The sequence below is a fragment of the Homo sapiens genome, chromosome 5 (genome assembly GCF_000001405.40).
Source record: "Homo sapiens chromosome 5, GRCh38.p14 Primary Assembly".
NCBI lineage: Eukaryota > Metazoa > Chordata > Mammalia > Primates > Hominidae > Homo > Homo sapiens.
In genome coordinates this window covers 112,796,140-112,816,883 of record NC_000005.10, presented here as the reverse complement: position 1 = coordinate 112,816,883, position 20,744 = coordinate 112,796,140, and the positions used below count along the sequence as shown (strand labels likewise).

General features: G+C 37.4%; 1 protein-coding gene across 37 annotated transcripts in view; it reads right to left on the bottom strand.

Annotated features, from left to right (window-relative positions):
- The window catches only part of APC (APC regulator of Wnt signaling pathway), a 138,742-nt gene that overhangs the window by 29,356 nt on the left and 88,642 nt on the right, over positions 1 to 20,744 (bottom strand). For 32 of the 37 annotated variants that reach the window (NR_176365.1, NM_001407447.1, NM_001354895.2 and 29 more), the window contains 2 exons: positions 15,501 to 15,605; positions 1,291 to 1,389 (listed from right to left, as the gene is read on the bottom strand). Coding sequence is in view for 35 of the 37 variants with exons in the window: in NM_001407447.1 (NP_001394376.1) it covers positions 1,291 to 1,389; positions 15,501 to 15,605 (204 nt within the window). In the remaining 2 variants the exon portion in view is untranslated. Of the gene's footprint in view, positions 1 to 1,290; positions 1,390 to 6,572; positions 6,759 to 15,500; positions 15,606 to 20,744 lie in introns of all 37 variants that reach the window. The other 5 variants (NR_176366.1, NM_001407470.1, NM_001407472.1 and 2 more) reach the window with 1 other exon arrangement.

Below are 20,744 nucleotides of genomic sequence, written 5' to 3'. Positions count from 1 at the left end.
AAATAAATAAATAAATAAAATAAAAATAAAATCAAATCTCTGACTTTAAAATAATAAAGTAACTATATTTTCCTCTTTTTTTTTTCTTTTGAAATGGAGTTTTGCTCTTGTTGCCCAGGCTGGAGTGCAATGGCACAATCTCAGCTCACTGCAACCTCCGCCTCCCAGGTTCAAACAATTCTCCTGCCTCAGCCTCCCGAGTAGCTGGGATTACAGCCATGTGCCACCATGCCTGGCTAATTTTGTATTTTTAGTAGAGACGGGGTTTCACCATGTTGGTCAGGCTGGTTTCGAACTCCTGGCCTCAAGTGATCCACCCACCTCAGCCTCCCAAATTTCTGGGATTACAGGTGTGAGCCACCACATCCGGCTTAAAGTAACTATTTTCTTTTCAAACATTATTCCCAAATCCTAAAATATTTGCTAACATCTAAGAAAGATACTCTAAGAAAGCTCACTTATCAGCATGAAATAACACTCAACTTCAACAATTTTTCCATTCACCTCAATACATATTTACTCATGTGCAGGCACTCTGTTAGACACAGCAAAAGATAAGTAAAAAAACATTTCTTGATTTCCAAAAGACAGGTTCATGCAAATTGTTAGTGATTCAAATGAGGCAGATGGATCACATGGGGAGGTAAGAGGACCTTGGGAATCAGAAAATGTTTTGTGAAAAAGCAAAGCCCAAGAAGAGTTTTGAAGGCTGGCTAGGATTCTGACAGACATTTATGGTGGTCCCCACCAATGCAGGCAAGGAAGGGAGGGGGAAAGTCACAGGGAATGTTCAGGAAGCAGGAAGTGAGCCAGTTTGGCTGGAACTCAGTATTCTTGCAGAAAAGTGGATGTAAAGACTGAAAAAGAATTAAAAATTAGCTAATCTGGCACTTTTTATAAACCTGATTTTTCCCTTGTTTATGCTTCGTTGTATAAAAATATGTAATTTCTTCAAGAGACTGTGAATCAGAATTCTCCACTAGAAAGCGGTGTAATCTCAGCTCACTGCAACCTCTGCCTCCTGGGTTCCAACTATTCTCATGCCTCAGCCTCCTGAGTAGCTGGGACCACAGGTGTGTGCCACCACACTGGCTAAATTTTTGTATTTTTAGTAGAGATGGGGTTTTGCCACGTTGCCCAGGCTGGTCTTGAACTCCTGGCCTCAAGTGATCCACCTGCCTTGGCCTCCCAAAATGCTGGGATTACAGGTGTGAGCCACTGCACCTGGCCAAGAATGTCTTAGCAAAGTAGTCATGGCATTAGTGACCAGGGTTTGTAATCTTCTGTTACCTTGGTTCCCAGATGACTTGTCAGCCTTCGAGGTGCAGAGTGTGTGCTACTAGAACTCAAAACACTGGCTGTTTCATGGTCCATTCGTGTAGTTGAACCCTAAAAATTAAGCACATTATAGATGGTATAATTTAGACTATAGGTAAATACAGATAACATCATGTTAAGGTACTCCAAATGAAGTGTCTGTATGATAAACAATTAAATACATCATAAAAGTATGACCATTATAACTGTTCAAAATATTTTTTACCTATACGCTTACTAAGTATGTTTTAGAGAAAAACTAAAGAAAAGAGAGTTTCTTGCATATGAGCATTAAACTGCAGAATGGACTTAACCAAAGACTGAAGAAATTCTAGGGTAGTAATTTTTCATAGATCTAAATAAATAAAACCACATTCAGATAAGTTCATTGATGAAAAGCATTGAAGGAATGTTCAAATTCTGAAATGCTCCAAATTGCCAGAAAACTAAGTATGAATTTGCTACAGTCCAAGTTCTCTAAGATCTCACAGTTTAGAAAGGGCTGTTTAAAACTTTTACTGGACAAAGACATGAAAAAATAAATGACTGCAGTGCAGTATAATATAAACACCGCAGTAGAAGAATGAACAAAACACTGAGGGAAAACAGGAAGAAAGAAATTACTGCATAGGGACTATTAGAGGCTGTATAAAATCAGTAACATTTAAGGTAGGCATTTTGTGACAGGAGACTGACGGAGGAGACTGTGCAAAGGTACAAATACGGAGAGCGTGGAGTGTTCCAATGTAATGTGGACAGAACACAAGGTGTATGGTTAGAGATAAAGGTTGGGTTAAATCATTAAGTATCTCATGTCATTTCAAAGATGTTGCTGTCAAGCTGTGGAGTCACTGGACTTCAGGCAGGAGAATGGTACAATCAGAATTACGTCTTAAAAACAGCACGGAGAGATCACAGGTAGGAAATGAGGGAGAGGGTATTTTCAGCAGTTGAGTGGTTCTGAGGGCACAAACTAAGGCAGTGAGAATAGAGAAGTGGGGATGCTCTTGAAGGATATTCAAATTAATTGGCTTGAACTGAAGGTCAAATTAACTGGCTTGAGTAACTTGACTGGATGTGAGTAAAGAGGGGCTGGGAGTCGAGGACAACTTGGAGGTGTCAAGCTTGGATAAATGGGTAAGTAATGATGCTCGTAATGGATATCGGAAACCCAGAAATAAATGATGGCTTTCATTGGGGGAACTGAGCTCACTTTGAATCTGACATCCAGTAAGAATCCCCAATGGGCACCTGAAAACAAAGGATGCAACTCTGGACAGGAGGTGGGGTTGCAGATAAATAACTGGGACCTATCAAAATATAGGCCACAGCTAAATCCATTCATTAATAATTAAGGAAATGACTGTAAGAATAGTGTCAGCAATATTTGCAGGCATTCTTTTGCAGTTCTCAACCTTGCAGAATGGAAAGCTAAAATGTAAGTTATTTGAGGACAGAAACTTTATTCTGTTCGCTGCTGCATTCTTAGTACCAAGGGTGGTCTTAAGCTTAGTAGGTATCCACAGAATATTTGTTGAATTATAAATAAATGAGGAGCTATTAGTAAAATCCGTAAGAATGTCAAGATGCAGGACATCATTCGAATTGTCTTTCAGATATACAGGCTCTGGCTAATTGAAGAAGGTAAAGAGAAAACCACAATGGGAGTAATAGGTTTTGAGGACTGTGAGATGGCACCTCCTACTCTAGAGGGTACAAGGGGAGAATTCTGGAACCAACACACCTTATAACTTCCTTTTGTGCATAAATTTCACTTTTGGTGATTTTTTTTTCTTTTTTCTTTTTTTTTTTTTAGAGACAAGGTTTCACTATGTTGCCCAGGCTGGCTCTGAATTCTTTGGCTCAAGTGATCCTCTCACCTCAGCCTCCAGAGTAGCCGGGACTACAGGCACGAGCCAATGAGCCCAGCTATGGTGACGTATTAGAAACTTTTCTTCCCTGTTAGCTAGCAACGTAAACTGTTTGCCAGATAACTTCCACTTTGGTAGACAACATAGAAAACTGTTAACAATGTATTCCTAAGTGATTCGTCAGGATTTTAATCAAGCAATAATTAAGGGCTCATACAGAGATTTCTGAATTCGTAATAAATTCCTTGTTCAAATTTGTTATAAATTTGTTTCATAAAGTCCTTAAATAGGTAATACTCCAAAGTTAATTTTTATGAGGGCTGCTTAGAACTTCTGTATAAGTCATGTTATAAGCCAAGGTGAGGTTTTCCTGACTAGTGCACAAAACTATTTTAGATCATCGTTCACAATAATTAGCTATTTTAGATCAGCATTTTAAAGAGAAAACTACATTTGTCAAAACTCATTCAACTGTACACTTAAAATGGGTACATTTTATCACATACTAATCTTTCTTCAATAAAAGTGATCTTTAAAAAATCCTAACTTGAGAGGTTTTAAAAAATGTGTCCCCATATAAAGGCAAGATAATCCACTTATTCATACTCGCATAGGGAAGTCTGGGGTTGGACTGAGAATACTAGTTCAGAGTCCAGAGTGGCTCCCCTTTCCAGTCTCTACTTCCTTTGTGGGTCTGGACTCTTTATGCTGACTAGGGACACTTCTAGGACAAAACTAATTAGTAATCCTCCTTAGGGAAGGGAAAAGAGGCATCAAGGAAAGACTCATCTTACATCTCTTTCCACTGCCACCAGCTATTGACTGCTTCTGGAATGGTCTTTAAATCCACATGCAACCAAGCAACAAATATTGCCTGAGCCCCTGCTACTTTCCAGGTAGTATATTAGTCACCAGGAATATAAATGAATAAGACATTCTCACCCACACTACACACACAATCTAGATGAGGAGCTGAACATGAAAATACGTGTGGGTAAGTGCTTTGACAGAAACTATATGAACACACAGGAAGATACACAATTCAGTCTTGGTTCCTGAAAAAGTGGCATCTGAATTTGGACTTGAACCATGAGGAGTAATTTAGTTAATAAAAAGAATGAGGGGGATTAGCCACAGGGCAGCCCAGGCAAAGGCAGAGGCATAAGCAAGGGTCAGAAGAATATGGTATAGTTGTGTTTGTGTGTGTGTGGAGAGGAAGGGGAGGCAGAACTACAAATAAATCTGAACATAAGGAGCTTACTCTGGTTCTAACTAATAAAGGATAGATCTGAGGGACTGAGACTCAGGCTAAGGAGGATAGTTGGGGCTTTTTTAGTAAATTCAGACAAGGAACCTTTTTCTTGGTCTATAGAAGGGAAATGAGTCTTTACCCTGAAGCAAACACACAATCTTGGAAGATGTCTAAATATTTTTACTGTTTGTAGGTAGCCTCTAAGATAGATCTTTGCCTCCTGGTATTCACGCGTTTTTGTAATCCCTTCCCCTTTAGTCTTGGCTAGATTTAGTGACTTGCTTCTAGTGAATAAAATGCTATAGAGGTGATGAGAAGCACTCTCAAGATAAGGTTACAAAGACGTGTCTTCCATCTTGGGCACCTCTCTTGTTCCCTCTGAGGGAAGCGTTACTATGCTGTGAACTGCCCTTGGTGAGGCCCATGTAACAAGGAACTGATGTCTCTCTGGCTGACATCCAATGAGGATCTGAGGCCTTCAATAGCCGTAAGTGAACTTAGAAGCAGATCCTCCCCTGGTTATGTGTGGAGATGACTGCAACCCCAGCCAATACCCTTAAGTCTTGTGGGAGACCCTGAACCAGAGACAGGCAGCTCAGCTGCACCAGGATTTCTGATCCATAGAAGCAAATATAAATGTCTACTAATGCTGTTAAGTTTTGGGGGCAATTTGTTATGCAGCAATAGCTAACTAATGTACTACTTGAAACAAAAGAAAACAGGAGGTTTAATTATGAAACAAGGGAAAACCTGTTTCCACAATAAAACATGTTTCTGACATTCATTTCAGTGTAGACAACAAATCTTTTCTAAGCTTCAGTCTTAGTTATCTTCCTATATAGCTCCTGGATTTTGAGACACTCTTCATTCACCAATCTGTCTCAGTAGAAATTTAGATGTATTTATTATTAGGAGATACCAAGAGGTACACATACTCGTATTCTCTATGAGCCTAGAACTTGGTCCATGAGAGTCTTTCTTGGGCGTTTTATTAAGGCTAGACCTGAGCCAACTTCTTTCGGAGGGACTAGAGTCTCCCTATCCACAAGAAATGATTAATAACTTCCTAAGAATTGTTTCCCACCCAACTCAAAACTAAATTCTGAATAAACTTGAGTGTGATGAACTTTCTCACAACCTCAAGACCTGCTAAGTCAGTCATGATTGCACATCCCTTGAATCAGCTTTGCTCATTGTCCAAAGATAGAAGCACTCGCTGTATCATTCCTGACACTCAGTGTCCAAATGTGTGAGACACTATTTCCCACTGTCCTTTTTCCTATCCAACTTTCCTGTACCATCCACATTCAATGCTTTATAAATATCCATACATCCTCAACATTTTACTTCATGCTCCTTTTATTTCCTGGTCTTCAACTTTCTCTAAGATGTTGGTTCTTTTTTTGTGTGTGTGTGTGTGAGATGGAGTTTTGCTGTGTTGCCCAGGCTGGAGTGCAGTGGCGTGATCTCAGCTCACTACCAACTCTGGCTCCCAGGTTCAAGTGATTCTCCTGCTTCAGCCTCCAGAGTAGCTGGGATTACAGGCATGTGCCACCACTCCTGGCTAAGTTTTGTATTTTTAGTAGAGACAGGGTTTCACCATGTTGGCCAGGCTGGTCTCAAACTCCTGACCGCAAGTAAGATACTGCTTCCTTGAAATGACTAGCAAATCCAGCATGTATTTCAGGTTGGATTTCTTGTGGTTATCACTTTCATAATTCTCTTGCTAGCTTTTAACAGCTTTGCCCTGCACTTATTCCACCCCATTTGTCTGGAAACATTGCAATCACAGATGAATCCAACTGTCTGTTTTCTCTACACCCTGACATGAAGTGCCAGGCAGCATTAGAGAAATTTGAGCATGTGAGAAACTTACGTAACTCTTTAGGATGCTGTCGATATACATTTATGGTCACCAATACACCTAGACTCTCCGTGCTATAACTGCCATCTTTTTGTTTCCCTTGTCAGCTCTCCTTTCTTTGGCTATTTTTGATATGCCTCATTTTGTATCATATAAAACTGTGGCTCTTCTTCTCTTACTGCATATAACTTTACCTTCTACTTTATAGAAAAAATAGCCAACAGACAAAATTTCCTCAACTTCTTGCTAACCAGAACCTTAAAATTACCTGCGTATATATCCATCGCCACCTTTTGCTGTGACATCAGAGTTCCCCTCCTCCTATCTAAGGTCCATCCCTTTAGATGTGCTCTGGATCCTTTCTCTCTCCATTTCTCTTTGATCTTAGGGATCTTCAACTCTCTTCTCTACTGGCTCCTTCCCATCAGCATTCAAACATCCTCATCTTTTCTATCTTAAAAACAGAAATAAATTTTCTCTCAAACTTATAGTCTGTATCAGTTAACGATCTTTTCTCTCTTGGGCAGTTCACATCTAGACATCTTTACAGTTAGCTAAAATTGCTCTCTTCTACTTTTTTTTTTGAGACGGAGTCTTGCTCTGTCACCAGGCTGGAGTGCAGTGGAAGGATCTCAGCTCACTGCAACCTCTCCCTCCTGGGTTCAAGCGATTCTCCTGCCTCAGCCTCCCGAGTAGCTGGGATTACAGGCACGCGCTGCCACGCCCAGCTAATTTTTGTATTTTTAGTAGAGACAGGGTTTCACCAAGGCCAGGATGGTCTTAAGCTCCTGACCTCGTGATCCGCCCATCTCGGCCTCCCAAAGTGCTGGATTACAGGCGTGAGCCATCACGCCTGACTGCTCTCTTCTACTTTTTAACCTTCCATTTAACTTCAACTCACTCCAATATAATATAGTAGGAAAGAAGGCCCAAGGAATTGCATTTGACAAGATCAGCAATGAACTTTTTTTTTTTTTTTTTTGGTGAAACCCAAGGTGATTTTTTAGTCCTCATGGCAATGGTGGAAACTGTTAACTGTTCCCTCTTTGTTGTAACAATATTATTCTACTGCTTTGGAATTTTAGGCTAGGTATTCATCTTCTCACTGTATACTCATTGGGGATGTAAAAATCTTTAATACCTTTAATTACCAATTCTTTACCTTTCCTCTCAATTCCAAATCTAATAGCCTACCTCACATTTCTACTTTGTGTGTTTATTTTATTTTTTTGAGACAGGGTCTCACTCTGTTGCCTAGGCTGGAGTACAGTGCCATGATTTCAGCTTACTGCAGTCTTGACCTTCCAGGGTCAGCCACCTCAACCTCCCAAGTAGCTGGGACCTCAGGCACATGCCACCACGCCTAATTTTTTTTTTTTTTTGTATTTTTTGTAGAGACAGGGTCTCCTTATGTTGCTGAGACTGGTCTCAAACTCTTGGGTTCAAGTGATCCACCTGCCTTTGCTTCCCAAAGTGCTGGGATTACAGGCATGAGCTACTGCACCCAGGTGCATTTCTGCTTTGATGTCTCAGACCTAACATCTTTAAAGTTAAACTTAACATTTTTCCAAAACTAGACTCATTATTTTCTCTCACAAACCTCCTTCTCATCTAGCATTATTACTAAATTGCATCACTACCCTTCTAGCTGCCTAACAGAAACCTGCGAGTAATTCTCGACTTCTCCTTCCCCCTAAACACTCATATCCAATCCCTAAGCTTGACTGATTCTACTTCTTGAATATTCTCAGATACTGAAATCTACCAATTTATAGGACATACAGATGATAAAGAAACATGTTGAAGTATATCATGGGGAGTCATCAGCAAAATCTAGAGTATGGGACACTCTATAAAAAAAACATTTGGAAGCCAGGCATGATGGCTCAAACCTGTAATCCCAGCAACTCAGGAGGCTGAGGCAGGAGGACTGCTTGAGATCAGTTTGAGTTCAAGACCAGCCTGGGGAACAGAGGGAGGCCTAGGGCATGGTGGTGAGTGCCTATAGCACCAGCTACTCGAGAGGATCGCTTAAGCCCAGGAGTTCAAGGCTGCAGTGAGCTTTGCCACTGCACTCTAGTCCAGGCGAGAGTGAGATCCTGACTAAAAAAACAAAAACAAAAACAAAACCCCAGAAAACCATAAAGAAAAAAGAAAAACAACTTTAGTTCTTCAATAACTAAATGGCCGTAAAACAAAAAGAAGGAACATACAGATTAGAACAGATATCAGAGATATACTAATTCCTATTCATGGACCTTATCTGGACCCTGAGGCAAATAAACTGTGAAAAAGACATTTATGAAACAACTGCAAGTTTGAATACTGACTGGATAAATGATGCTATTAAACAATTACTGTTAGAGTCTTTGGAGATGTAATAATGCCACTGCAGTTATTTATTTTTTAATTTTTTTATTTTTTTGAGGCAGAGTCTCGCTCTCTTGCCCAGGGTGGAGTGCAGTGGTGCGATCTCGGCTCCCTGCAACCTCTGCCTCCTGGATTCAAGTGATTCTCCTGCCTCAGCTTCCCGAGTAGCTGGGACTACACGTGTGCGCCACCACATCTGGCTAATTTTTGTATTTTCAGTAGAGACAGGGTTTCACCATGTTGGCCAGGCTGGTCTTGAACTCCTGACCTCAAGTGATCCGCTCACCCCGGCCTCTGGAAATGCTGAGATTACAGGTGTGAGCCACCACACCTGGCCAGTTATGTATTTTTAATAAGTACTTTTATCTTTTGTAAATACACAGTGAAACAGGGAAGAAGTGATGATGATGCCTGGAATCTTCTTAAAAAATAAAATGGGAGGTTAAGGTGAATAGGTTACATGTCGATATGAATCACTACATTATTGTCTTTGTAAATGTTTAAAATTTTCCATAAGAAAAAGTTTTAAAAACCAGTGGCAGTAGAGTGGGTTTTTCTATCATTCCATCTTTTTCCCACTTTTAATTGAGCTTTATTATTATATACTGGCTATTACCAGAGACCTGGTTCTAAATTTCAAATAGAAAAGCTTAGGTTGCTTGAAAAAAAGAAAAAATAGTGAAAGAAAAATGGATTAAAAACTTCCATATCTATAAACCACATATAGATAGGAAAAGATATCTCAAAGTATTATTAAATGACAAGAGTAAGTTGTATAGTATAAAAATATTGTTTATATAAAAATTATATATGGCTGATTCACAAGTAACAATGTAACGTATAAAAAGAATAAAGGGTACTGGAAAAACTAATTTCTTAAATTCCCCAAATAACAAATTACAAAAACCCAGAACTCCCTAAAATACAATTACCACAGTAAACTGTCAAACTGTAATTGCCATAGAAACACTCTGATATACAGAAGATATTTGGTCAACACTTTCCACAGGCTGGGCATGGTGGTGCACGCCTGTAGTTCCAGCACTTTGGTTTTACGTTTTTTTTTTTTTTTTCCTTGAGATAGAGTCTTGCTCTGTCACCCAGGCTAGAGTGCAGTGGTACAATCTCAACTCACTGCAACCTCAGCCTCCTAGGTTCAAGAGATTTTCCTGCCTCAGCCTCCCAAGTAGCTGGGATTACAGATGCACGCCACCATGCCTGGCTAATTTTTGTATTTTTAGTAGAGATGGGGTTTCACCATGTTGGCCAGGCTGGTCTCGAACTCCTGACCTCAAGTGATCCACTCATCTCAGCCTCCCAAAGTGCTGGGATTACATGTGTGAGCACCATGCCCAGCCAATCGTAGCACTTTGGGAGGCCAATGCTGGAGGATTGCTTGAGCTTGGGAATTCAAAACCAGCCTGGACAATATAGTGAGATCCTATCTCTATAAAAAAATTAAAAAATTAGCCAGGCACAGTGGTGTGCACCTGTGGTCCCAACTATCCAAGAATGACAGTGGAAGAATGGCTTGAGCCTGGGAGGCAGAGGTTGCAATGAGCCGAGATTGCACCACTGTGCAGTGGTGTACAGTGACAGAGTGAGACCCTATCTCAATAAATAAATAAATAAATAAATAAATAAATAAATAAATAAAGTTGAGAACCAACTAATAAATAAATTATACACATAGTTATATGCTAAGCAAGCAGGGATCTGGCCTGTATAATTTACTCCTAAGCTTTTCCTTCCATTTAACTTCCATGAGAGATTAAAAACAGATCAAGAAACCCTTTCTTTAGCAGGGATATTACACACACCACATATTTATTGTTATCTACTATTTATCAGGGACTGTGTGGGTATGAAAATAACAAAACTAGATAGAATCCCTGCCTTTCTGGAGCTTACAGTCTAGTGGGGGAAACACAAATATTAATCAAGTCATCACACAAATTAATGTAAAACTGCAAATGTAGTAGTCTTCAAACGAGAGGAACATGCTGTGACAGCCTATGGTAGTGAGATTTGATCTGTTCGAGCCTCTCTGAGAAACTGGTGCTTAAGCTCAGACACACATGAACTGGTGTTAACTGAGCAAAATGGGATGAAACAAACACTACATGGAACAGGTATAGATGTGCACAGGCTGTGGTAGGAGAAGGCCCAGTAAATATGAGGTACTGAGAGAAGGCCAGTGTGGAGGTGTGAGAGCAAGATGTGACATAAAGCTGACAAGATAGGTAGGGGCCAGGTTACCTGGGTCACAATAAATGGTTATCATTTTTCTAAGAATCAAGGGAAGCCAATGAAGGATTTTTCAAAGAGAATGATTGTGGGCAGGAAACCAGGTGAGAGAAGCGGTAGAATACATTCCCACGTGGTGGTGAAGAGAATTACTCTAGGACAGAACTTTGGCAGAGCATGCTACTGTGATCCTGAGAAAGTCAGAGACTGATTTTCATTTTCAACTAGTGTTGGTGGCTTTTGTCTTTTGAGCAAATAATAAAACAAAACAAACTAATAAACCCCAAGAGGCGATCATGTGTATAGATCCTATTTAGATGAAAGGACTTTTGGAATAACAAATCACAGTCCCACAGATACAGGTCACACATCTACATCAGGATCTGGGAATAGCTGCAATATTGTTTTAAAACAGTGACTGAAAGTAACCAGATAGTATTAGCAGCATTAGTGTCATACAAACACCAATATGGTGGGCAAGTCTATGATTGCTACTGCTAAACAAACATACTTATGTTTACCTCTGAATTCACAGCACTATCAGAGTTCATCACTTAAAGGAGGAATGAATACCGGGCCCTGATTTACTATTTTCAATAGATCTTTTCCTCTGCCATCCCTATACTGACATAAATGACATGATGTATGTCATGGTAGGACTCTGAAGTATGGCAACCTAAACTACCATACAACGGAAATCAAGACAGTGCTTTCTTCTATTTTCCCAAAATGAAAATGGGTTTTGGGTGTTATAAATTATAGTAATACATGTTCATTACAAAAAATAAAACGACACACAAAAGAATAAGTAAAACCCACAAAAATCCCAACACTCAGAGATAACTATTGATAACAGTTTAAAGAACATTCTCCCACACATTTCTCTATGCATATACACACATTATACATATGTATAATGAGATCATACTTACTTGCTTTTAAGTTTTTTTTTTTATTTTTTAGACAAAAAATAAAAATTAAAAAAAATATTTTTTGCCTTGTTACCCAGGCTGGAATGCAGTGGCATGATCATAGCCCACTGCAGCCTTGACCTCCCAGGCTCAAGTGATCCTCCCACACGGCCTCCCAAGTAGCTGGGACTACCACACACGGCTAATTTTTATTTTTTTTTGCAGAGGCAAAGTCTCCCTATGTTGCCCAGGTTGAACTCGAACTTCTACCCTGAAGCAATCCTTCCCGCTTGGCCTCCCTAAGTGTTGGGATTATAGGTGTGAGCCACCATGCCCAGCATACTTGCTATTTTTAAATTAAAAAAGTTGTAATTGGCCGGGCGCAGTGGCTCACGCCTGTTATCCCAGCAATTTGGGAGGCCGAGGCGGGAGGATCACGAGGTCAAGAGATTGAGACTATCCTGGCCAACACAATGAGACCCTGTATCTACTAAAAATACAAAAATTAGCTTGGTGTGGTGGCACACACCTGTAGTCCCAGCTACTCGGGAGGCTGAGGCAGAATTGCTTGAACCTAGGAGGTGGAGGTTATAGTGAGCTGAGATCCCACCATTGCACTCCAGCCTGCTGACAGAGCGAGACTCTGTCTCCAAAAAAAAAGTTATAATTACCTAAGTCAATAATATTTATTAATATTCAACATAAATGCTCTCTGCCAGGTACATATTAGTTGGCTGGCATACAGTGAGGAGCAGGTGTGGCTTAAAGGACTTTAAGAAGGAAGGAAGACAATTAAACCAATGATAAATTGTGCTAAGCACTATGAGAGCAGGAATACAGCGTATCAAAGAGTACTTTATTTATTCCAGGTAGGTGGAGACAAGGAAAATGTCCAGGAAGAAGTGACATTTAAACGGTGGGGAAGGATGAGTAAAACATATAATATGAACTGAAGCAGAAGACAGTTTTAGACCAAAGGAATGTCCTGTGGAAGGCCTGGACATACTCAAGGAACTGAAGAAGTTGAAGTTGAGGGAGTGGTGAGAAATGTGGGCAAATATTGTGAGATACTCTTGGAAGAGTAAGCAACATGAAGAATCTGGATTCTAATATATGGGAGGTGAGTAGCCACTGAAAGGTTTAAACAAATAAGTGATATAATCAGATTCATGTTTTAGAAGAATAACTGATTATAATATGAAGGATATACTAGAAAAGGCAACAATTGAAGGCTAAAAATTAGATCTTTACATAAATAGAGATGTAATTTATCATTTTTAATATTTGCATGGATGCACCATATAGGTTCCATGAGGCCAAGGACTGTCTGTCCTTTTCAATTATCAATTCTAGAGTCCAACACAGTATCTGGCATATTTGTTAATTTAAAGATAATTATTAACACTTGTTAACAACAGAATCGGTTACCTTTTACTAAGCTCTGACAATATGCCAGGGACTGTGTTAAGGGTATCTTGCATTTAACTCTCCCAACTGTTCTATGAGGTAGAGGTTTTATCATCATCTTATTTTACTAAAGAGGAAACACTAAAGCTCAGAGACTTTTTGTTACTAAGCTAGTTAGTGAGGGAGTGTGATTTCCCAGGTTTGTTGACTCCAGAGCCACTTAACTAATCTACAGCTGACTAATAATTTAACCATTTTACGATCAATGTCCATTTAGGTTATTTCTAACTTTTTGCTATTGTTAGTATTATGATGAATCTCTTCAAACATGTCTGATCACTCTTGACTGATTATCTCATTAGCAAAAAATCTTAGATGTTGTAGTGATGAGCTTCACAACAGGCACATTATAAATAATGCTAGATGCATTTGACAAAATTGCTCTCCAGAAAGCCTGTTTCATGTCATACAATTAAAAGCAACATATGAGAATGCCTGTTTGCTCACCATTACTGAGTGTTATTGATTTTTGCCAACTAAATGGCCCCCCCACGAAATCTGACTTTAGTTTTAATTTGTATTTATATATCATGATTAGTAAAGTTGACCATCTTTCCATGTTTACAAGTCATTTTAATTTCTTCTTTTATTTCCTGTTCATATCCTTTGCCCATTTTAATTTTATTTTTAAAATTATTATTTATTTTTTTACTTCTACGATGGCTTGGAACCATTTTAAGATACTCTTTAAATAGCTGGTATATAAATACTGTTTTTTGCATCTTGAATTTTAACTTTTTACACGTCATAAATGTTTGCAAATAATGTGATCTTGGTTGTTTGTTTTGGAATCTCGCTATGATTTCCTGGCATACTGAAGTCTCATGCTGTAACGTGAAATCTATCAATCCTTTCTTTATGGGTCTCCCACCTACATCATGATTATAAAAACGCTACCCACATTTTCTTCTAATCTTTTTATATTTTTAATGATTTTCATTTTGACATTAAATCTAATCTACTTAGAATTTATTTTGATGTAGTAAGTGTAATATGGATCCAATTTATCATAGCCAGCTTACTGGATAGGTAAGGTTTCCAAAGTACATAATAATTGGAAGATGACCCAAAGCACTACGAGTAGATCTATTCCTATGTAAATATTTTTTTCTGTCATATAGGATTAAATTTTTCTTCCTTCTACATATGTGTAGGAATATATAAATGTTGCAACTAATTCCCTAAACAAAAGACAGATACATAACTCAAATGTGCTGTTTAAACATGATTGCCTTTGTCCTAATTTACCACTTGTTTTCCAATATAATGCTAACTAGTAATACTGAATGAAGTATGTTTGTTTTAACTCAGTAAAATAAATTTAAATACTTAATAAGACATTTTAAGCTTTACATTTTAATGAACTAATAGAAGCATATTCTTAAAAACAATACTATCAAAAGTAACCTAGAGAGACTAAGAAAATTTTCTGTATCAACAGTAGAAAAATTACCTTTAAGAACAATTTAGTGAAATTCTGTTTTTAAAAAGTCATTCATTTACACTCTAAAAATATTCATTGAAGAAAATTTGGAGAATACAGAACACCCTAAAGAAAAATTCTGTCCTATTGCACTGTATTTCAATAAAAATCTAATAAGATAACGGATGGTAGCATAACAAATAACAGTTCTGTATGTAAAAAAAAAAAGTTTACTTTCATAATTTTGCTGAAAATGATGTGGTAATATTAAGCATAATTAGGCCATGTTGCCTTACTTTTTTGTGTGCATTACAATTATCTTTTTCAGTAAGACTTGGATTTCTAGATTTATATAATCTTTAAGTACAACAGGAAATAAAGCCTTTATAACTTTAAAAAAAACCATAAAAATGTCTTTACATTGAAGGTCTTAGTGAAAGAGCAAACCTATTCAAGGCAAGCAAAAATAACTAGGTCAAATCATATACATAATCAAAATGCAGCTTAGAGTTATTAAAAAAAACTACTCACAATCATTTTAGACTAAAACATAAACACACAATCTATAGCTATAGAAATAGATCTAGAAAATCCTTACAGCATTATTGCTGATATAATAAAGAGAAATGACAGCACATTGGTACTGAATGCTTCTGGAAATATGCATTCAGGACTAAGAAAATAGGTAAGATTTATAGATCATTCTTAGAACCATCTTGCTTCATACTTTTCTGATATTTAAATAATTTTAAAAAATATGATAAAATAATTTATTTACCTGACCATTACCAGAAGTTGCCATGTTGATTTCTCCCACTCCTTGACCTTCATTCTGCCGCTCAGCATCATGTGAGCCGGTTTCATGCTTGTTCTGAGATGACCTCTGTTAAGATGGAGTTAACATCAGTACATGCAAAAATGGTGTAGGCTTTCTTAGCCCAAGGCTTTTTTTCTTTTTTTGCTTTAAAGCTCTGAATGCATCAATTATACAGACTGATAAAGGCATGGAACTGTGTATTACACTTCATAACCTCCAGTACGATTGGCGGTCGACTATCTCGGTAAGGGGAAAGTGAAGTGTGTCCCTTGAGCATTAGAGCTGCACGAGACAAAGGATTTTCTGAGACTCACAGGAATGCCATCCTCTACCAGCTGCGCTCACATTACTATCAGGAACATAACCCAAGTAGAACAAATAACTATCTTTTCTGCAAGGACACATGATTCTGACATTTAATGGAGCTGCAAATACAACAGTTAAACTATTACCTAAGCTTACAAATATCTTCTACTTAGGTATATTTTCACATAGAATATATATATATATATGTATATCTTCTAATAAAAGTTAGGTGAAATAAAATGATAGGCTCTTAGCTTCTGATATGAATAAAACCCAAAGCCTTTTCTAATGCAACCACCATCTGTTAACAGGAAATTAAAATGACAGATTACATCCAGTAAAAGCAGTCATTTCAAGATAGATTATCCCTAGCACAAAGCAGTCACTTTATAAAAATACCACCACAAAATTAAAGAAATAAAAGAATTTCTCACGGTCATTTATAGAAACACCTATATGCTTGTTCTAGGAAAAAAATATCTAAAATAAAAATTATACATTAAAAATCTGACCTAACAGTGGATAATTAAATTACAAAATGATTCCTAACGTAATTTCTTTAAACATCAAGCTTTCCTAGATCATTTAAAAAATGTGACTTAAAAATTTAATTTATATGCAACATTTCCATCAATAAACTAGTATCAGTTATATGCTGGCAAAAGTGAGGTAGCACTCAGTAATCCAGAAATATAAGAATAATTAGTACCATCTGAAAATCATGCTATAGAATTTAATGGAATCCACAAGAATAGATATACATACATAAAGTCAACCTAGAGACAAAATGAATCTAAGACCACAAAGATTTGACACTAACGTAAGTGAAGATGTCAACATATTTAAAGAAAATTACTGACCATCTACTATGTTAGTTACTTGCAATAGATGCTGGGGAATACAGTGCTAGCAAAACTAGACATTGTTCTATGCTCTCTTGGACCTTACAGTTTAGTCAGGGACACTGTCAAATAATGACAGAAATAATAAAGGTAAAATTGACAAATGCCATGAAAGAAGGGTACAAGGTGCTGTAAATATATATAACAGAGAGATATGATATACTCTGGAGGTTTGGAAGAGCTCTCTTGGGAAGTGCTGTTTGAGTAAAGACTTGAAGAGTAAATAGGAGTTAACTAGGCAAAGGGGAGGAGTAGAGGATGAGTGTTCTGGGTAAAACAGATCACATGCAGAGGACCCAGGGTAGGAGGGAGTGTGGCTTGTTTTAGCGTGTCAACGAATCATGGTGTGGATGAAGCACCAAAAATAAGGAGGAAAGTAGAACAAAAAGAATATGATAAAAAAATTTAAATTTTAATGCCTTTTTCTGCGATTCTTAGATGGCATTCTTGCCTTTTCTACTTGCAAGTTACAGTGAGGCCACTGCATGATTGCCCCCACATAATTAATACTAATATATTAATGGATAAAGTTGCAAGTAAATTTTATTTTTTAAGTCAAATTTTAAATGGTCTAAGTAGGGAGGAAACATAGGAAAGACCAGTTAGGAGGCTAATGTATTAATATAAGTGTGAGACAGTGGCACTATGCACTAGGGAAGCAGTGACAGAGATAAAAGAAGTGGAGACATAGAGGTAAATCTGATCGGGTTCGCTGACAGGATATGGGGAGTGGAGGAAGAGGTCTGGTGTGGAGTATTACTCCTACATTCCTTAGCTCACACAATTCAATAATGATGGTGCTACTCCTCACAGAGATAGGTAATACTGAGGGAGGATGAAGGTTTTTTGCTGCAAGGTGGGGTAGTAAAGAGGGCTTAGGAGGAACAGATCATTAATTATGTTTTGAATATGTTGAGTAATATTAAAGTGCCTTTTTTTTTTTTTTTTTTTTTGAGACAGAGTCTCGCCCTGTCACCCAGGCTGGAGTGCAATGGCGCAATCTCGGCTCAAACGATTCTCATGCCTCAGCCTCCCAAGTAGCTGGGATTACAGGCGCCCACCACCATGCTGGTTATGTTTTGTATTTTTAGTAGAGACAGGGTTTCACCATGTTGGTTAGGTTGGTCTTGAACTCCTGACCTCAGGTGATCTGCCCACCTCAGTTTCCCAAAGTGCTGGGATTACAGGCATGAGCCACAGTGCCCGGCCATTATCCCCATTTTATAGATAAAGAGATGGAGGCACAGAGAATATAAGTAACTTGTTTTCAGTCACATATCTAGTAAATGGCAGAGTCAGAGCTGGAATTCCAACCCAGGCAATTCCAACCCAAACTACCATTTAACATTTACTATCTTCATTTTCTTTCCTCCCTCCTCTTTCCTAATTACTTTTTTTTATTCTTTCACTGATCCTAGGCTACAGGCCTGCCTGCACGCTTCGATACACTGAAGACAAAAGAAGTGGTTGTTCACTATTATGAAAGATTAATTCTAACTAGTTTCCTCATTTCCATAGTTGCTTTACAACTTCTCCAAGGTTTTCTACTCTAGGTGATAGAACTTGAAAAAAAATTTTGGTGAGGTATTTAAATATCACAAAATCCATCCATTTTAAGTGTTCAATTAAATGACTTTTAGATTTATCAAGCACAGCTGTAATCCAGTTTTAGAACATTTTCATCATTCCAATAAAATTCCTGCTGTCCATTTACAGTTAATCCTCATTTCCACTTACAGTCAGACAACCACTAATGTACTTTTTGTCTTTAGAAATTTTGCCTTTTCTGGACATTTGATATAAATGGACTTATATCTCTGGCTTATTTTACTTAGCATGTTCTGGAGGTTCATCCATGTTATAAATTCTGCATCAGTAACTTACTTTTAATTGCTGAATAATATTCCACTGAAGGGATATAACAAATTTTGTTTATTTATTCACTAGTTGATACACATTTGCACTGCTTCTCCTTTGAGGCTATTATGAAAAAATGCTGCTAGTGAATGAACATACAAGTCTAAGTCTTTGTGTACACATATATTTTCATTTCTCTTGGCCAGATACCTAGGAGTAAGATTGCTGAGTCACATAACTATATGTTTAATATTTTGAGGAATCACTCAACTGTTTTAAAATGGTGGCTGTACTATTTAAATTCCCACCAGCAATGAGGGATCCTGCTTCTCCACATCTTCGTCAATGCTTATTATTGCCTTTATGATTAAAGCCATCATAATGGGTGTGAAGCAGTATCTCACTTGGGCTTTGATTTGCATTTCCTTAATGATTGAGCATATTTTCATGTACTTATTTGCCATTCCTATATATACCTTCTGTGGTGAAATGCCTATTTAAATCTTTTGCCCACTTAAAAGGTGAGTTGTATTTATCTTTATTAATGAGTTGCAAGAATACTGTGACTTTAGTAAGTATTCTTCATTTGCTATTATCTTTTAAGACACACTGCATTGTCCTCACAGCTCCCATTCCACCCAATGTACTTGCTTGTTAATAAATAAACTATGTCTGGAAGAACACACAAGAAAGTCACAGCACTGGTTGCCTCACATACCTTTATGTAACTTCTGAGTTTTGAATCATGTGTAATAATTAGTAGACTTAAATCACGTCCAGCATCTAGACCTTAAACCAGAGTTATAATACAGGTAGCCAAAGAAAATGCTATAAGAAATATGCTTCATGATAGAGAAATTATTTGGCAGAAGCTTTTCCCTTTCTCATATCTACTGCTCTATGAACTAATTTGCAAGTGTCCAATCCCCAATTTTCTCCATCTTCTAGCTTCTCCCTCTAACTTACATTAGAAGAATAAAATAATGCAATAAACAAACCACAAACGGCAAAATTGTAAAAAGTGGTTTTGTTCTTTCTTAAATGTGAAATGGCACCTTCCTTTGGCTTACATTTACAAACTATCAGAATAATGCAACTGATGTAACTATTATCATAACAAAAGGAAGCAATAAGAGGTTGGATCATAGTAGCAGACAGTCTGCCCTAAATCCAATAATATGAATAAAAAGTTTTGAACAGATACAAGAAACACAAACAAGTTTCCAACCTGAAACTTGTAACAGTACTGGAAAATGAGGATTACTATTAATAAATGGTACTACAATGAAATTGAAGGTGAACAGCATTAAATAAAATAGAGGGCTATTTTATATTACATAAATAAAAGATTCAATCAACTAGAAAAAAATGTGACTATTGATTTAGAAATATCAAAACCTGTTAGATGCAGCAAAACAGTAATAATCAGAATACAAGAAAGATGGGGGGGAAAGAACTAACTGTAACTAAAGCTATTCAATTAAAAACAAAACACTGCCTATTTAAAAATAATTTAAAAAATAGACCAAAACAAATTTGCTTAAGGATGAAAGACACATAAAAACTTCAGTAGAAAGCCAAAAAGGTCATAATAAGTAGAATGCTACATACATCAATACCAACAGAACTGAAAAGGAGCAAAAAAATACTGCTTTTTTTCCTGGCCCTTTCCAAGGGCCAGGTAAAAAAAGAGTCCATTGCAAAAATGAACACATTCTTTAAATTGCAAATATTTGACTTATATTTGCTTAAGACAGTCATGTTAAACTGCTTTTAGGATTATGACTATCACATTGTACTTAAACTGTCTACTTAGCAAATAAGTTTCTACATATTTCAGATTCAGATGTACTAAATCCAAAGTTCCTCAGATATTAAAAAAGCCAGACATGGATGAAAATGTTTTTTGAAAGAACTCTTTCTTTCTAATCTCTTTCAGCTGAGTTTTTGGGGAAGGGGGGATACTCACCCCCTCCGATCTCCAAATAACCTGCTTCAATGGCTAGTTCTGCATTTTTCAGTTGAATGCTTCATTTCAGTTCCACTTTATTGTTACACAAATTTTCCACTATTTACATTACTTTGACTATGAAATTCTAATCATAGCTGGCAGATGGTATACTATAATCACCTTCCTTTA